This window comes from Homo sapiens, chromosome 9, assembly GCF_000001405.40.
Source record: "Homo sapiens chromosome 9, GRCh38.p14 Primary Assembly".
NCBI classification, from domain to species: domain Eukaryota; kingdom Metazoa; phylum Chordata; class Mammalia; order Primates; family Hominidae; genus Homo; species Homo sapiens.
The window spans coordinates 97,416,029-97,431,211 of NC_000009.12; the positions used below are offsets into that span (position 1 = coordinate 97,416,029).

Here is a 15,183-nt window from a genome sequence, read left to right on the forward strand (position 1 = left end):
ATGTGGGAATTGAAATCAGACTGGCAAGTCGTGCATTTGAATACAATCACATTTAGCCTTCCAGGTTTTACTGCATTTAACTGCTTCTCACCAGCTTGGAGACCCACAGTCTTATACTCCAAGGGATTCCCCTTCCCTTCAAAAAGTTGTTTGCAAATAGAGAGTTATAGTCCTCCATGAAAGATAGCATACTTTAAAAAGGCAGGCAGGGGGAGGGAACTTAATTTACAGATTGCAACCATGTGGTCAAGCGTTGATTCTCAGTCTCCTCAAGTATGAGGCCATTTTTTGTAGCTTTAGAAAAATTTCGTGAAACCTCATACACTAGTAGTTGTGCTTGCAGTATCCATTGGTCAATTAAACATATAACTACCAAAAGCTGTTGTGAATTTAATATCAGTTTGTGTTTATGGATCCCAATAATATCTGCACACTCTGAAAAACAGGACTATAAGTACATGTGAGACATTTACTAATATTCAAGCCGTGCCTGCTGCTTGTCAGGATGTGTGGGCTCCTTGCAATCATGCTGCGGCCCTGACAGGGCCTAATCTGGCTCAGAGTGGACATGCTCAGAAATAATCTACTTGATGATTCTCAACCACAGTTTGGTGTTGCGATTGGCTGTCTCATTCAGTTTATAAGAATTGTTAACATTTGCAGATAATTTTTTAGTAACTTAAATTGGATTCAGAGTTATGCCTTTAATAGCTCACCTATGTTATGCTGTATTTTAGTGAGTAGGAGAGAAAAGGAGTGGTAGGTGGATGGAGAATTTCTTATTCATTCAACAAATATTTATTGAGCTCTCGGTGGGCTAGGCACTAGGGATTCAGCAATGAACAAAACAGACACAAATCCTTGCTTTCATGGAGCTTGCATTGAAGTTGGGGAGAAAGATAAAACCATTAAATGGAGAAGAATATTGGATGGTGATAAGTGCTAAGGAGAAAATCAGGGAAGCTGGCATCTCAGTTTTGATTTTGAATAGGGTGGCCAGAGAAGGCCTTACTGTGGAGGTGACAGTTGAGCACGTACTTTAGCTGAAGGAGGTAAGGCTGTGAGCCACATGTGCCCCTGGAGTCAATATGTCCCAGGTAGAGAGAATGGCAAGTACAAAAGCCCTGTTGTGAGGCCATCTCAGGCATGTTCAAGGAAAAGCATGGAGCCCAGGATGGGTGAATGAAAATAAAGAGAAGAGAGAACTTAGGGCAAAGAAGTGGGGGTTGCAGGTTATGCAGGGCCCTTTTTGGCTCTGTAAGGACTTGGCTTTTTGTCTGAGTTAACACAGGAAGCATTAGAGGGTTTTGAGTGACGTGATATAATAGTATATATTATATGAAAAGATCACTCAGGCTGATATGTGGAGAACAGATTCTAGGAGGTGAAGTGGAAGCAGAGAGACCAGCTAAGAGCCCAGCTGCTCTGCTCCAGGAAAGAGATGTTGCTGACACGGACTAGGACAACTGCCATGGAAGTGGTGAAGAGTGAAGGAATTGTAGACATCCGCCTTCCATCTTTATGTATCACATTGCTTGGGGGAGGATTGAGAACTAATACTGACCTCACTCATCTTACAGATAAAGAGAATGAGATCCAGGAGAAGGGGCTTATCCCAGGAAAATGAGTGAGCAGTGGCATTAAACTTGCGGAACACAAGTAAAAGGAGGCTCAGGCATAATCTTCTGCAATCCCCTGCCCTTCCCCCAAAACCAAATCAAAATATATCAATGGCCAGGTGTTAGCAACTTTACTATTGAAATATTTTAAAGTAGATTTTAACTGTGATAATATGTGCATTAAAAAGGGGGTGAAAGGCCAGGCACGGTGGCTCACACCTGTAATCCCAGCACTTTGGGAGGCCAAGGCAGGTGGATCGTGAGGTCAGGAGTTCAAGACCAGCCTGGCCAACATGGTGAAACCCCGTCCCTACTAAAAATACAAAAAGTAGCCAGGCATGGTGATGGGTGCCTGGAATCCCAGCTATTCAAGAGGCTGAGGCAGGAGAATTGCTTCAACCTAGGAGGCAGAGGTTGCAGTGAGCGGAGATCACGCCACTGCCCTCCAGCCTGGGTGACAGAGCAAGACTCTATCTGGGGGAAAAATAAAGGGGGAGTGAAAGTAGGAAGTATGTGTGTGGCATAAGCTTTTCTCAGGTCAGATTGAGAAATATAACTTAGAAAAAACAGTCTGACAATGCCAAGAAATCAAGGTGGGTAAATGTGAGGTTGGATAGGGTGGGAAAAGTGAAAAATAAGGATGAGCACTTCTGTGCCGTGCAGATTCACACTGGTATTTTATTTAATTTTCTTCCAAGAGTCTCGGGGCAAAGGATAGAACAATTAGGATGGAGGTCACGAGACATCTGCTATATAAAGGAGAAGACACATTTAAAGAGGGTGGGACTAGAGAAGCAAGCATTAGGCAAAGCTTCGTACCTCACTCTGCTCTGGCCGTTAAACAGGTCATGGGTGGGGACAAGAGGAAGACTCTACCTGAATGCCGCTCCTTAAAAAAAAAAATTGTGAAGTGCCCTTTTTGGGAGATCCCTGCTTGCAGCTGTTTCAGAGCAGAAATAAGGAAGATAGAAGGGACATTTCAGGGGCAGTGGTCTAAAATGGTTCTCCCAAGGGTGGAAGGAGTGGAAGGCTTTCGCAGAGGGCAACCTGTAGAACAAGCCTCTGATTAGACTCTAAGACAGGGCTGGACCTGTCCTTTCAAACCTGAATCACAGTGTTCTGTTAGGTTTTAGTAACAGGACACCCATTAGTAAAATGCATTTATCCGACATTTTTTCCCCATAAATTAATGGTTGCTGTCCACTCCTAATGTAGCTGAGAAAAGTAGACCACAGAGGGGAGGTGGCAGTGGAGCAGATGCTCTTTCCAAAATGAAGGGAAGGAGAATACCATGGAAACTCTATTCTTAAGGCAAAGGGTAAGGCCTTCTTACTGAAACTCTGGCAGGGGAATATAAAGTAGTCTGGCCAGGGAGGAGTCAGATATATTGAACAGTCTAATTTGAGTCGTTTACACTGGTCACACCCAGATGGATATTTTCCCTGGATGTGTGCTAACCACCTGACATTATATCTATATGTAATGCGTATGTAGCTGATAGCCAAGGCCCACTTAGGCATACGGATATACAAAGATGCAAAGCCCAGTTTCACTCAGAAGAGCTCTAGATGAACTGATGGGAGGGATTGGGTTTTGAAGGGAAGAAGAGCACATAGATGGGGAAGGTGGAGATCAGAAATGGATAGTCAGGGTGGATTGGCACTGAGGAGTAAGCAAGTGATGCTTTAGTATGTCCTCTTGCAAATTAAAACTTGGCCAGTCTCCACTGTTGCTTTTACTACTTGTGGAAATAACTGTATAGTAGTTCAGTGATCTTTGACTCATGAGTCATGAACCATTGTTAAACTATTTTCCGTGTCATCAGTTTACTATTCAGGACCCAAAATTCATACTTCAGCATTGACATCTGGCAACCGTGAAGTATAGGTCCCAAAGCTGTCCTCTTTCCTGCTCCCTGGCATTCATTCAGAGTGTGGACTTCAGAGGTAGTGGAGGTGTGCAGACTCTGCAGTTCTCTGTCTCTGCCATGAATTTCTATTGAGTATCTCCAGCTGTTCCATTGTCTTGGAATCCACACCAGCCCTGTGACTAAGTGGAGTCAGCTGTGGATTTCACACCACTGTTTTTTTCTTTTTTACTCTGCTTACCCTTTCTTTCCTGTCTTGTCTCCTGTTCTTAATTCTTCAGGGTTTGCTGGGTGTTTTTCCCAGTACCAGTAGACAGGGTGATATAATGGGAAAAGTGTGGCCTTTGGCATCAAACAGACCTGGATTGAAATCCTAGCTTATCTACATCCCGCGATATCTTAAGTATTTAACTTATCTGAACCTTGGTTTTCACATCTATAAGTTGAGGATAATAGCCTCCCAGCATTATTATAGATACTAGATTTTTAGAAAAGCCATTTCTCAGAATTTACATAAGAGAAATAAAAACATGTGCCTACCTAAATACTTGTACATGAATGATCAAGGCAACTTTATTTATAATATCTCAAAATTGGATGCAACCCAAATGTGTATCAACATTTGAATTGATAAACAAATTGTAGTATACCCATACAGTGGAATACTACTCATCAATAAAAAGGAATGAACTGAGTTAAATGCAGTAACATAGATGGAACACAAAGCACTAGGCAAAAATAATCCATAGTGACAGAAAGCAGATTGGTAGTTGCCAGGAGCCAGGGCAGTGTGTGTATGAACCAGAGAGGGCTGACCACAGAGAAGCATAGCTTAAAAGAACTTTTTTTTGGGGGGGGCGGGTGGGGGAGGGTGTGGTGGTTAAAGATATGCTGTACATGCAGTAAAAATCCCTCTTTATAGCCAATCACCTCCCCTTACCCCCAGCCCTTGGCAACCACTGATCTAATTTCTGTGTCTGTAGTTTCGCCTTTTCCAGAATGTTCACATAAATAGAATCATGTATGTAGCCTTTTGTGTCCAGCTTTTTCCTTTAGCATAATATAAGAGTCATGCATGTTTTATGTATCAACAGATTGTTCCTTTCTATTACTGAATAGTATTCCACTGTATGGCGCTACTAGTTTGGTTTATCTACTTACCTTTTGATAGACATTTTGATTGTTTCCAGTTTGGGGGGCAATTATAAATAATGCTGTTATATACACACACACGTTTCTGTGTGGACATATGTCATCATTTCTCTTGGGCAATAATGTAGGAGAGGACTGCTGGGTTATATAAGTGTATACTTTACTTTGTAAGAAATTGTCAAACTGGCCGGGGCAGTGGCTTATGTCTGTAATCCCAGCATTTTGGAAGGCCAGGGCGGGTGGATCACCTGAGGTCAGGAGTTCAAGGCCAGCCTGACCAATATGGTGAAACCCCATATCTACCAAAAATACAAAAAAATTAGCTGGGCGAGGTGGTGTGTGCCTGTAGTCCCAGCAACTCGGGAGGCTGAGACAGGAGAATTGCTTGAACCTGGGTGGCAGAGGTTGCAGTGAGCCGAGATCGGGCTACTGCACTCCAGCCTGGGCCACAGAGCTGGACTCTGTCTCAAAAAAAAAAAAAAAAAGAAATTGTCAAACTATTTTTCAAGGTACTATTTTGCATGCCCACCAGAAATGTATGAGAGTTCTAAATGCTCTGCTTTCTCATCAGCACTTCGTATTGTCAGTTTTTTAAAAAATTAAGCTGCTCTAATAGATGTGTAGTGATACTTCATTGTGAATTTAATTTGCATTTCCCTAATGACTAATGCTGTTGAGCATCTTTTCATGTGTTTTTTTGCCATCTTCATTTTTACTTTAGTGACATATGTATTCAGGTGTTTTGCACATTTTAAATTGGGATCTTTGTTTTATTATTGAGTTTTGAGTATTGTTTATATATGACTACCAACTTTACCACGTCTGTTATGAAAATATCTTCTCACAATCTGTGGCTTTTCATTTTTGAACAGCTTTTGGAAGAGCAGACATTTTAAATTTTGATGAGATCCAATTTGTCAATTTCTTCTTTTTTTCTTTTTGAGACAGGTTCTCACTCTGTCGCACCATGACGGCTCACTGCAGCCTCTCAGGTAGCTGGGACTACAGGCACGTGCGACTATGCCCAGCTTTTGTGTGTGTGTGTGTGTGTGTGTGTGTGTGTGTGTGTGTGTGTGTGAAGACGGAGTCTCACTATGTTGCCCAGGCGAGTCTCGAACTCCTGAGCTCAGGTGACCCATGTGCCTTGGTCTCCCAAAGTGCTGAAATTACAGACGTGAACCACCGTGCCCAGCCAATTTTTTCTTCTATGGTTCTCAAAAGTCTTTGCCTAACCCAAGGCCACAAAGATTTACTCCTGTGTATTTTTTAGAAGTTTTATACTATTAGCCTTTTCATTTAGGACCTAAATTATTTATTTTGAGTTAATTTTTTGTATATATAATATGAAGTTCATTATTTGCATATGAATGACCAGTTTTACTAGCACTGTTCATTGAACTTTCTTCATTGAATTTCCTTAGCATCTTTGTTAAAAATCAGTTTACTAGGCCGGAGGTGGCTCACACCTGTAATCCCAGCACTTTGGGAGGCTGAAGTGGGTGGATCACTTGAGGTCAGGAGTTTGAGACCAGCCTAGCCAACATGGCAAAACCCTGTCTCTACTAAAAATACAAAAAAATTAGCCAGGCATGGTGGCACATGCCTGTAATCCCAGCCAACTTGGGAGGCTGAGGCACAAGAATCACCTGAACCCAGGAGGCAGAGGTTACAGTGAGCCAAGATTGTGCCACTGCACTCCAGCCTGGGCAACAGATCAAGACCCTGTCTCAAAAAAAAAAATCAGTTTACCATATATGGGTTTATTTCTGGATTACATATTCTGTTCCATTGATCTATATGATTGTTCTTTTGATAATATTATACTATTTTGACTAATATAGCTTTATAGTAAATCTTGAAATCAGCCTTATTGCACTGGCTAGGACCTCCACTGTGATAATGAATGGGAGTGCTGAGCATGGGCATTCTTGCCCTGTTCCCAGTCTTAGGGAGACAGCACTCACTCTTTAGCTGTGAGTAATGATGTTAACTGTGGGTTTTTTCACAGATGGTCTTTATCAGGTTAAGGACTTCCCATTTTATTCTAATATTCTGAGAGTTTTTTATCATAAATACATTTTTTATTTTGTCAGCTGTCTTTTTTTCACCTATTGATATGATTGTGTTGTTTAATTTCCTTTAATCTGTTGATGTAGTAAGTTATATTGATTGACTTAATGAATATTGAACCATACCTGCATTCCTGGAATAAACTTTAACTGGTTATTATGTCTTATCCTTTTCACTAATTGTTGGATTTTATTTGCTAATGTTTTGTTAAGAATTTTTGCATTTATGTTCATGAGGGATATGGTCTGTACTTTTCATGCAGTGTCTTTGTATAGTTTTTGTATCAGCATAATGCTTGCCTCATAAAATGAGTTCAGAAATGTTCTCTTCCCTCTGTTTTCTGGGAGAATCTGTAAGAGTAGTATTGATTCTTCTATAAATGTTTGGTAGAATTTGCCAGTAAAGCAATCCGGGCTTCAGGTTTTCTTTGTGTGAAGATTTTTAACTGTAAATTCAAATTCTCTAATAGCTATAGGGATATTTGAGGGTTATTTATTTCTTCTTGAGTAAGCTTTGACATTTGTGTCTTTCAATAAATTTATCTATTTCATCTAAGCTACAAACTTACTGGCATAACTGTTTTATCATGTTCTCTTTTTAATGTCTGTAGGATCTGTATTGATGGCCCCTCTTTCAATCACATTATGGTAATTTGTGCCTTCTTTTTTTTTTTTCTATGTTTCTAGGAGTTTATCAATTTTATTGATGGTTTGAAAACTAGTTTTAGTTTCATGATTCTTTTCTCTCCTATTTTTAAACTTCATTATTGATCTGTTTCATCATTTCAGAATTGATTTCTGCTCTCACCTTTATTTCCTTTCTTCTGCTTACTTTTGATATAAATTTCTCTTTTTGTTCTCAAAGTAGGAGAATAGATCATTGATTTGCCACTTTTCTTCTTTCTAACAGAAACATAATGCTATAAATTTTCCTCTAATACTTTTACCGCATCCAGCAAAATTTTACATTTGTGTCTTCATTTATTTAAAAATATTTTTCTAATTTTGGAGGTAGCCTTTCTCTTTGACCCTTGGTTATTTAGAAGTATCTTGTTAAATTTGCATGGAGATTGTTCACATATCTTTGTGTTAGTGATACCTAATGTAATTTTGTTCTATTCACAGAATATACTTTTTATAATATGAGTTATTTTAAGTTGTTTGAATATCATTTTAAGTCCAAGAATATATTTTATTTTGGTGAACATCTCATGTGCTCTTGAAAAGAATGTATATTCTGCTGTCTTTGGAGTGGAGTGTTCTGTCAATATCATTAGGTCACTTTGGTTGATAGTGTTTAGATCTTTTATATTCTTTTTTTTTTTTTTTTTTTTTTTTGAGATGGAGTCACTCTGTTGTTTAGGCTGGAGTTCAGTGGCATGATTTTGGCTCACTGCAACCTCCACCGCCTGAGTTCAAGCAATTATCCTGCCTCAGCCTCCTGAGTAGCTGGGATTACAGGCACGAACCACCACGTCCGACTGAGTTTTTGTATTTTTTAGTAGAGGTAGGGTTTCACCACATTGGCCAGACTGATCTTGAACTCCCAACCTCAGATGAACCGCCCACCTCGGCCTCCCAAAGTGCTGGGATTACAGGTGTGAGCCACCACACCCGGCCAGCTCTCTTATTTTCTTACTGATTTTATTTTTTTGATCTACTGGTTCTATCTATTGACGAGAAAGGAGTTTTGAAGTGTCCAACGATAATTGTGAAATTGTGAATAAGTTTTTTCAGCTATCAGATTTTGTGTGTTTGGAAGCTCTGATGTTTGGTGCACCTATGCTTAGGATTGTTTTATCTTTCTGATGAATTAGCCCCTTAATCATTATGTAATGTCTCTCTTTATCTCTGATAAGATTCCTTGTTCTGATATTTATACAGTCATAGTGTTTGCATGGTACATCTTTTTTCTTTTTACTTTTAACCTATGCATTCATATTTAAAGTGGGTTTCTTGAAGGTGGTATATAAGTAAGTCTTGCTTTTTTATCCACTCTGCCAACCCCTAATGTTTTATAGGGCTATTTCAGTTATTTACAGTTAATGTAATTATTGATATGATTGGCTTTAAACCTGCCATTTTGCTGGATGTTTTCTATTTTCTCTACCCTTTTTTTTCTCCTTTTTCCTGTCTAATTTTTTTTAACTTCTGCTTGCATAGGTATTGTCTTATTACATTTTACCTTTACTACTGGCATATTATTATACCTTTTTAAAAAATTTTAGTGGTTGCCATATGGTTTACAATATCCCTCTTTATCATAGTCAGCTTTCAAATGACACTACAGCGCCTCATGTGTAGTGTAAGAACCTTCCATTGGTTCTATTCTTCGTACTACCTTTGTACATTTTACTTTTACATATATTATGTACCCCACATGAGGGAATTTTTTTGGATGATGGGAATGTCTGTATCTTGATTGTGGTATGATTACATAGGTGTGTATATTTTTTAAAACTCAAGAAGTGCTACATATAAAATGAGTTAATTTTATTTTGGGTAAACTTTCCCTAAAGGAAGATTTTGATATTTAGTCTTGTGCCAATAACAATGTTTTGGTCAACAATGGACTGCATAATCATTTGTCCTGTAAGATTATAATACTGTATTTTTCTATACCTTATCTATGCTCAGATATGTTTAGACATACAGTACTTACCATTGTGTTAAAATTGCCTACAGTATTCAGTATAGTAGCATGCTGTACAGGTGTGTAGCCTGGGAGCAATAGGTTATACCATATAGCCTAGGTGTGTACTAGGCTATACCATCTAGGTTTGCAAGTCCACTCAATAATGTTTACACAATAACTAAATTGCCTAACGACACATTTCTCAGAATGTATCCCCATTGTTAAGTGACGCATGACTATACACACAAACACACACACACACACATCTGTGAAAAGAATAAGAATACAGACCTAGTATAGGGCTTTTGTAGGTTATAGTATTAATTAAATGTTGTTGGTCCTGGTGATAATAATTTGAAAAGAGTTAATGTTTAGTAATGGAAGGTACATAATGCATGCAGTCGTACATTGCCTAACGACAGGGATATGTTCTGAGAAATGCATTGTTAGGCAGTTTCATTGCTGTGCAAACATTATAGAGTGGACTCACAAACCTAGACAGTAGAACCTACCACACAACTGAGCTATGTGGTATATAGCCTGTTGTTCCCAGGCTTCAACCCTGTTCAGCATGTTACTGTACTGAATGCTATTAACATTCAGATAAAGAGGGATACTGCAACCATTAACACAATGGTAAGTATTCGTGTATCTAAACGTAGAAAAGATACAGTAAAAATATGGTATATAAAACAAAAAATGGCATACCTATATAGGTCACTTGCCATGAATGGAGCTGGCAGGACTGGAAGTTACTCTGGATGAGTCAGTGAGTGAATGGTGAATGAATGTGAAGGCCTAGGACATTACTGTACACTACTGTAGACTTATAAACACTGTACACTTAGGCGACACTAAATTTATTAAAAGTTTTCATTTCTTTTACTTTTCATTTATTTTTATTTTTTTGACACAAGTCTCATTCTGTCACCCAGGCTGGAGTGCAGTGGTGCTCCATTGCAGCTTTGACCTCCTGGGCTCAATGATCCTCCCACCACAGCCTCCTGAGTAGCTGGGACTATAGACATATGCTGCCACATCCAGCTAATTTTTCTATTTTTTGTAGAGATGGGGTTTCGCCATGTTGCCCAGGCTGGTCTCAAACTCCTGGGCTCAAGTGATTCTGCCCACCTTGGCCTCCCAAAGCATTAGGACTGCAGGTGCGAGCCACTGCATCTGGCCTCTTTTACTTTTTAAACTTTTTAAATTAAAAACTAAGACAAAAACACACACATTAGCCTTGGCCTATACAAGGCCAGGATTATCAAGATATTACTAGGCTATAGGAATTTTTCAGCTCCATTATGATTTTACAGAACCTCTTTTATATATGCAGTCCGTTGTTGACTAAAACACTGTTAAGTGGCACATGACTATGTAGATTTTTGTTTGCTATTGAAACCTTGCTGTAACTTCAATATTATGTTTATAATTAATAGCAGGACAAACAGGCTGATATTTTGTTTTCTTTTTAAGATGGACGAATGATGGAATTGATAGAATTGTATGTCATTCTTCTTTTGTGTTTTCTAAGCCAGAGAAAGAAAATGGCTATTTGTCTAGAATTCTCCGCTGTCCAGTATGGTAGCCAGTGGCCACATTTAATTTAAGGTAAAATTTTAGTTCCTCAGTCATCCTGGCCATATTTTAAGTGCTCAGAGCCATATGTGGACATTGTGGACATTGCAATAATATAAAACATCACAGAAAGTTCTATTGAACATCACTGTTGAAGGAAAAGTAACAAATTGCCCATGGTTTGCCTTCCTCTTTCCTTTAATAAAAGGGTAAGCCATTTTTTCCAGGCTACTTATTCTCTGAATGTATCTCCTAGTATGTATCTATACATTCTCTGAATGTATCTCCTGAATTTGTCTTTTTTTTTCTCTGCAAAACTACAACTAGATGTAATCATTAGTCCAAAGGAAATGATTCTTTCCTCCTTTTATTCATATGGCATTATGACTCTGCTTCTTTTTCTTCCATCTCTCTAGTCCCTTTTTCTTAGCCTTTTATAGGTTCGTCTTCCTCTATCCATTTCTTGAATGGTAGCCTTCTGCAGAGGTCCATCTGTAACCTTGTTTTTTACTCCCTGGATGTCAAGTACCCCATATAAGTCAAAGACCAACAAATCTGTGACCAGCTTAGACTTCTAACCTAATTTCCTAGTGAATATATCTGCATGGCTGTTCTATAAGCATTCCAACTTCTCCGTGTCCAAAATGAATTGGCCTCTTCCTCTCTTGCAAACCTGCCTTTATCCCACCTCAATGTGGGTCATTACTCTCTACCTTACTTCTAAGCTGGAAACATTGGAGCCCACCTCTTCATCCAAACCAATTAATCAATTCCTGCTGATTCCACCTCCTAATTACCTCTCAAATTGATTTTTTTATTTATTCCTAAGGCCCTGTATTGTGGTCCTCCACATTTCCAAGTATTCTGAAAACTTGTTAATCTTTCTCCTTCCCATTTATCTTCTCCATTGCTGAGTAGTGATCTTTCTAAAATACAGAGCTGATCATTTTTTTCCCCTATTTAAAATATCCCTAAGGCCCCCGTTACTTTTGGCAAAAATGCAAACATGAGCATAATATAGTAGTCTCAGGGTCTGCCCCTCCCTGGCCCTCTGAGCCCTCAGCTTGGAGTCTTTGTTCAGTCACGTCCAGCCACCTAACTGTCTGGAATTTTTGGAACACACCATGTGCTTCTCTCTCACCTCTGTGCACTCGCACATCCTGTTCCCTTCCTTGGGCTGATACCACTCCCAGCCCCACAGCCCACCCTCTTCCTCCTTGTTAGGTGATTCCATCTTGCTCTTCAGGACTCCATTCAGGCTTCCCCGCCTGAATCTGGGAACATTCCCTGATATATTCCCTCTTCAGGCTGGTCTTGTGCCTTCTGACTTTCCCCTGCATTCTTATGGTATTTGTGCTTTTCTCTACCGTGGCAGTTGTTTCCCCATATTGTAATTGCACAGAAAGTATGCAGTAATAATTTATAAAGTAACAAGTTTCAGCTCTGAAAATCTATTTGAATTCACAAACGAATGAGCCATATTATAGTAACCTTCTACTGTGTTCTTATAGGCAAAGATGCTGGAAGGAGATCTGGTTTCAAAGATGCTACGAGCTGTTCTGCAGTCTCATAAGAATGGAGTAGCATTACCCCGGCTCCAAGGAGAGTACAGATCCTTGACTGGAGACTGGATCCCCTTCAAACAGCTAGGTTTCCCTACACTAGAAGCCTATCTGAGAAGTGTGCCAGCAGTGGTCAGGATAGAGACTAGTAGATCTGGAGAGGTAAGAAGGTAATTGTGCGTGTCAGAAGAATCAAACCAATTCATAATTGCCTCTCTGGCACTTCCAATCTCCTACCTGTGATAGACGTCTAAGTGAAAGTACTAGCTTAGTTGTTTGGGATTGGTAGTGACAGAGAAAACAGCATGTAAAGCACAGCCTACATTCTTATGTCTTTTTCTTATTCCTCAAATTCTTTTCATTGTAAAAATAAGATTTTAACCACACAAAATTAAAAATATTTACCCAATGTCAACATCTAAACAAAATAGTTGTACTGGAGGCCTTAAGTGCATAAATATCACACCTGCCTATTACAGACCTGTTACAAATGTTTTTGCCAAAGTCACTAATGACCTTGTGATCACCAAATCTAATAGACAGTTTTAAATTCTCATCAAGTCAATTCCTGCTATCTGGACCTAGTCAGTCCAGAGCTGATCCTTCATCACTTTTCATAACTACCGGGGCCTCCTTGCTGTTGTGTCTTCTCTTCTGTTCTTTTCCTCTCCTTCACACCAATATGATCATATCATTATACCGTTTTAAATCCTTCTGCCTCTCTGGAAGAACACAGTTTATAGATAGTATAGGCCATTTAGTGGTAGCCGGTTGATCTGTCATTGCTCTTCCACTGCGACCTAGCAGCTTCACTTCTTGGTACCTACCCATTGTACAGCATAATAGATATGGACAGACCACCAACCAAAAGAGAAACAAAAACACCCACACCCCCTCATACACTATGGTTTCCTGGGTATGTTTCTACATGTGTAAATATGTGGATCAGGTCTGGAGTGTTTCTCACCAAAACCTGACATAGTGGTTTTTCTATATGGGGGGATGAGGAGGCAGTGGTGGAGGAGGACAAGGGAACCAGGAGCAGGAAAGTAGTCAAAGGGGAAGTTCACCTTGTAGTTAATAATTTTCCTAAGGAGAAGATATAAATTAATTAAATGTTATATGAATAATAAAATATGCTTTGGCATCCCTGATCGTTCCAGACAGACTTAAGCCCTCCTTTCTGTCTACTTGCACCTTGTAATACATCCGTTATCACACTTGACACAATGTTTTCTGTTTAATTTCTTGCTTCTCTCTTTTTCCTCCATAAGTTTATTAAGGATGAAGGGCTTAATAAATCTGTGTTGAATGCATGAATGAATGAATAGCTGAATGAATTAATAAATTAATGCTTTATAGAGTTACTATACTGTAATTTACTCAACTCTTTGTTCCCCTGTTTTGGACATTTTAAATGTTTCCAGGTTTTGACTATTAAAATACCCCCGTTGCTCATACTTGGGTAGGTAACATTTGTTTTTTTAAATTATGTTCTTGTAATATAGTCTCAGAAATAGAAATACTGGGCCAAAGAGTAGGAACATATTTTAGCTTGTGACATAAAGCCTCATTGTTTTCCTGTTTTTGATTTCAAATTAGAGTCAAAGACTTGAAAACTACACAGGTCTGTAGAGAGCATCTTGTCCCAGTAGTCTCTATCTTCAAATCTTTTTTCGATATCATATCATACCAATTTTTTCTTTAAAGATACAGAGCTGAGCTACAGTGTTTTGAGAGATGTGGAAGCTCCGGAGACCCTGCTTGCCCTGCCTTGCTCTCATGCCCCTGCCAGTAGCAGCCCCTTGAGGCCTCTCCATAGAACTCTATGGCTCCCATGAACACAGTTTGAAAACACCAGGTCTAAACCACCCCTGTTTTACAGCTGAGAATACTTAGATTTGCCCAGAGTCACCCAGCAGATCCATCACAGAGGCAAGAGAAGGATTTAGTAGTCTTGTATTCAACATAGTAGTTATGAGTACATACTTTGGACTCAAAGAGCCTCGCCATGTGACTTGGAAGGTTGCTTAACTTTCCCGAGCCTCTGCATTCCCATGTGTAAAGTGTGAATGAAATGTACCTCACAGATTATATGATATTATACATCAGATCATAGGTTGCTTTTTGTTCATTTGGTAATCTCATAGTATCTAGTACACTGTAGATGCTTAATACCTATTTAAAAATAAATGGAATTTTCAGTTTAGGAAAGATAATTCAATGTACTAGACTATGCCAGATTCCTCTTGCAGAAAATATAATTTTCTTCTAGCATTATCAAGGAGCGAGACACATGAATATTTGCATACCACTTGACTTGGGATATGTAGGCTCACTAAGATCCACTTTTAAGAACTGGCCTCTAGGCAACACGGAATCTGAGAAATGTTTCTCCTCTTACCCTGCCTCTAATGAATAGATTACCTGCTATGCCATGGCCTGCACAGAAACTGCAAGAATTGCTCAGCTTGTGGCTCGTCAAAGGAGTTCTAAAAGGAAAACCGGGCGTCAAGTTAATTGTCAGATGAGAGTGAAGAAAACCATGCCATTTTTTCTAGAAGGTAGGAGCTTTTTACATGCTAAAATTTTTAGGGCTGTCTACGAATACATTATCATAGGGAATTATGGAAATATTGTTTGTATTATGATAAATACTTGTATCTGTTAACATACATATGTCAGGGGAAAGATCCTGAAG

At 39.2% G+C, this 15,183-nt stretch overlaps 1 protein-coding gene across 4 annotated transcripts in view; it reads left to right on the top strand.

Annotated features, from left to right (window-relative positions):
• Nucleotides 1–15,183, top strand: part of TDRD7 (tudor domain containing 7) — an 84,030-nt gene that overhangs the window by 3,933 nt on the left and 64,914 nt on the right. For 3 of the 4 annotated variants that reach the window (NM_014290.3, XM_047423113.1, XM_047423111.1), the window contains exons 2-3: nt 12,432–12,644; nt 14,905–15,046. In NM_014290.3, the coding sequence (NP_055105.2) occupies nt 12,438–12,644; nt 14,905–15,046 (349 nt within the window). In that variant the 5' untranslated portion in view covers nt 12,432–12,437. The remainder of the gene's footprint in view (nt 1–12,431; nt 12,645–14,904; nt 15,047–15,183) is intronic. The other variant, NM_001302884.2, reaches the window with a different exon arrangement.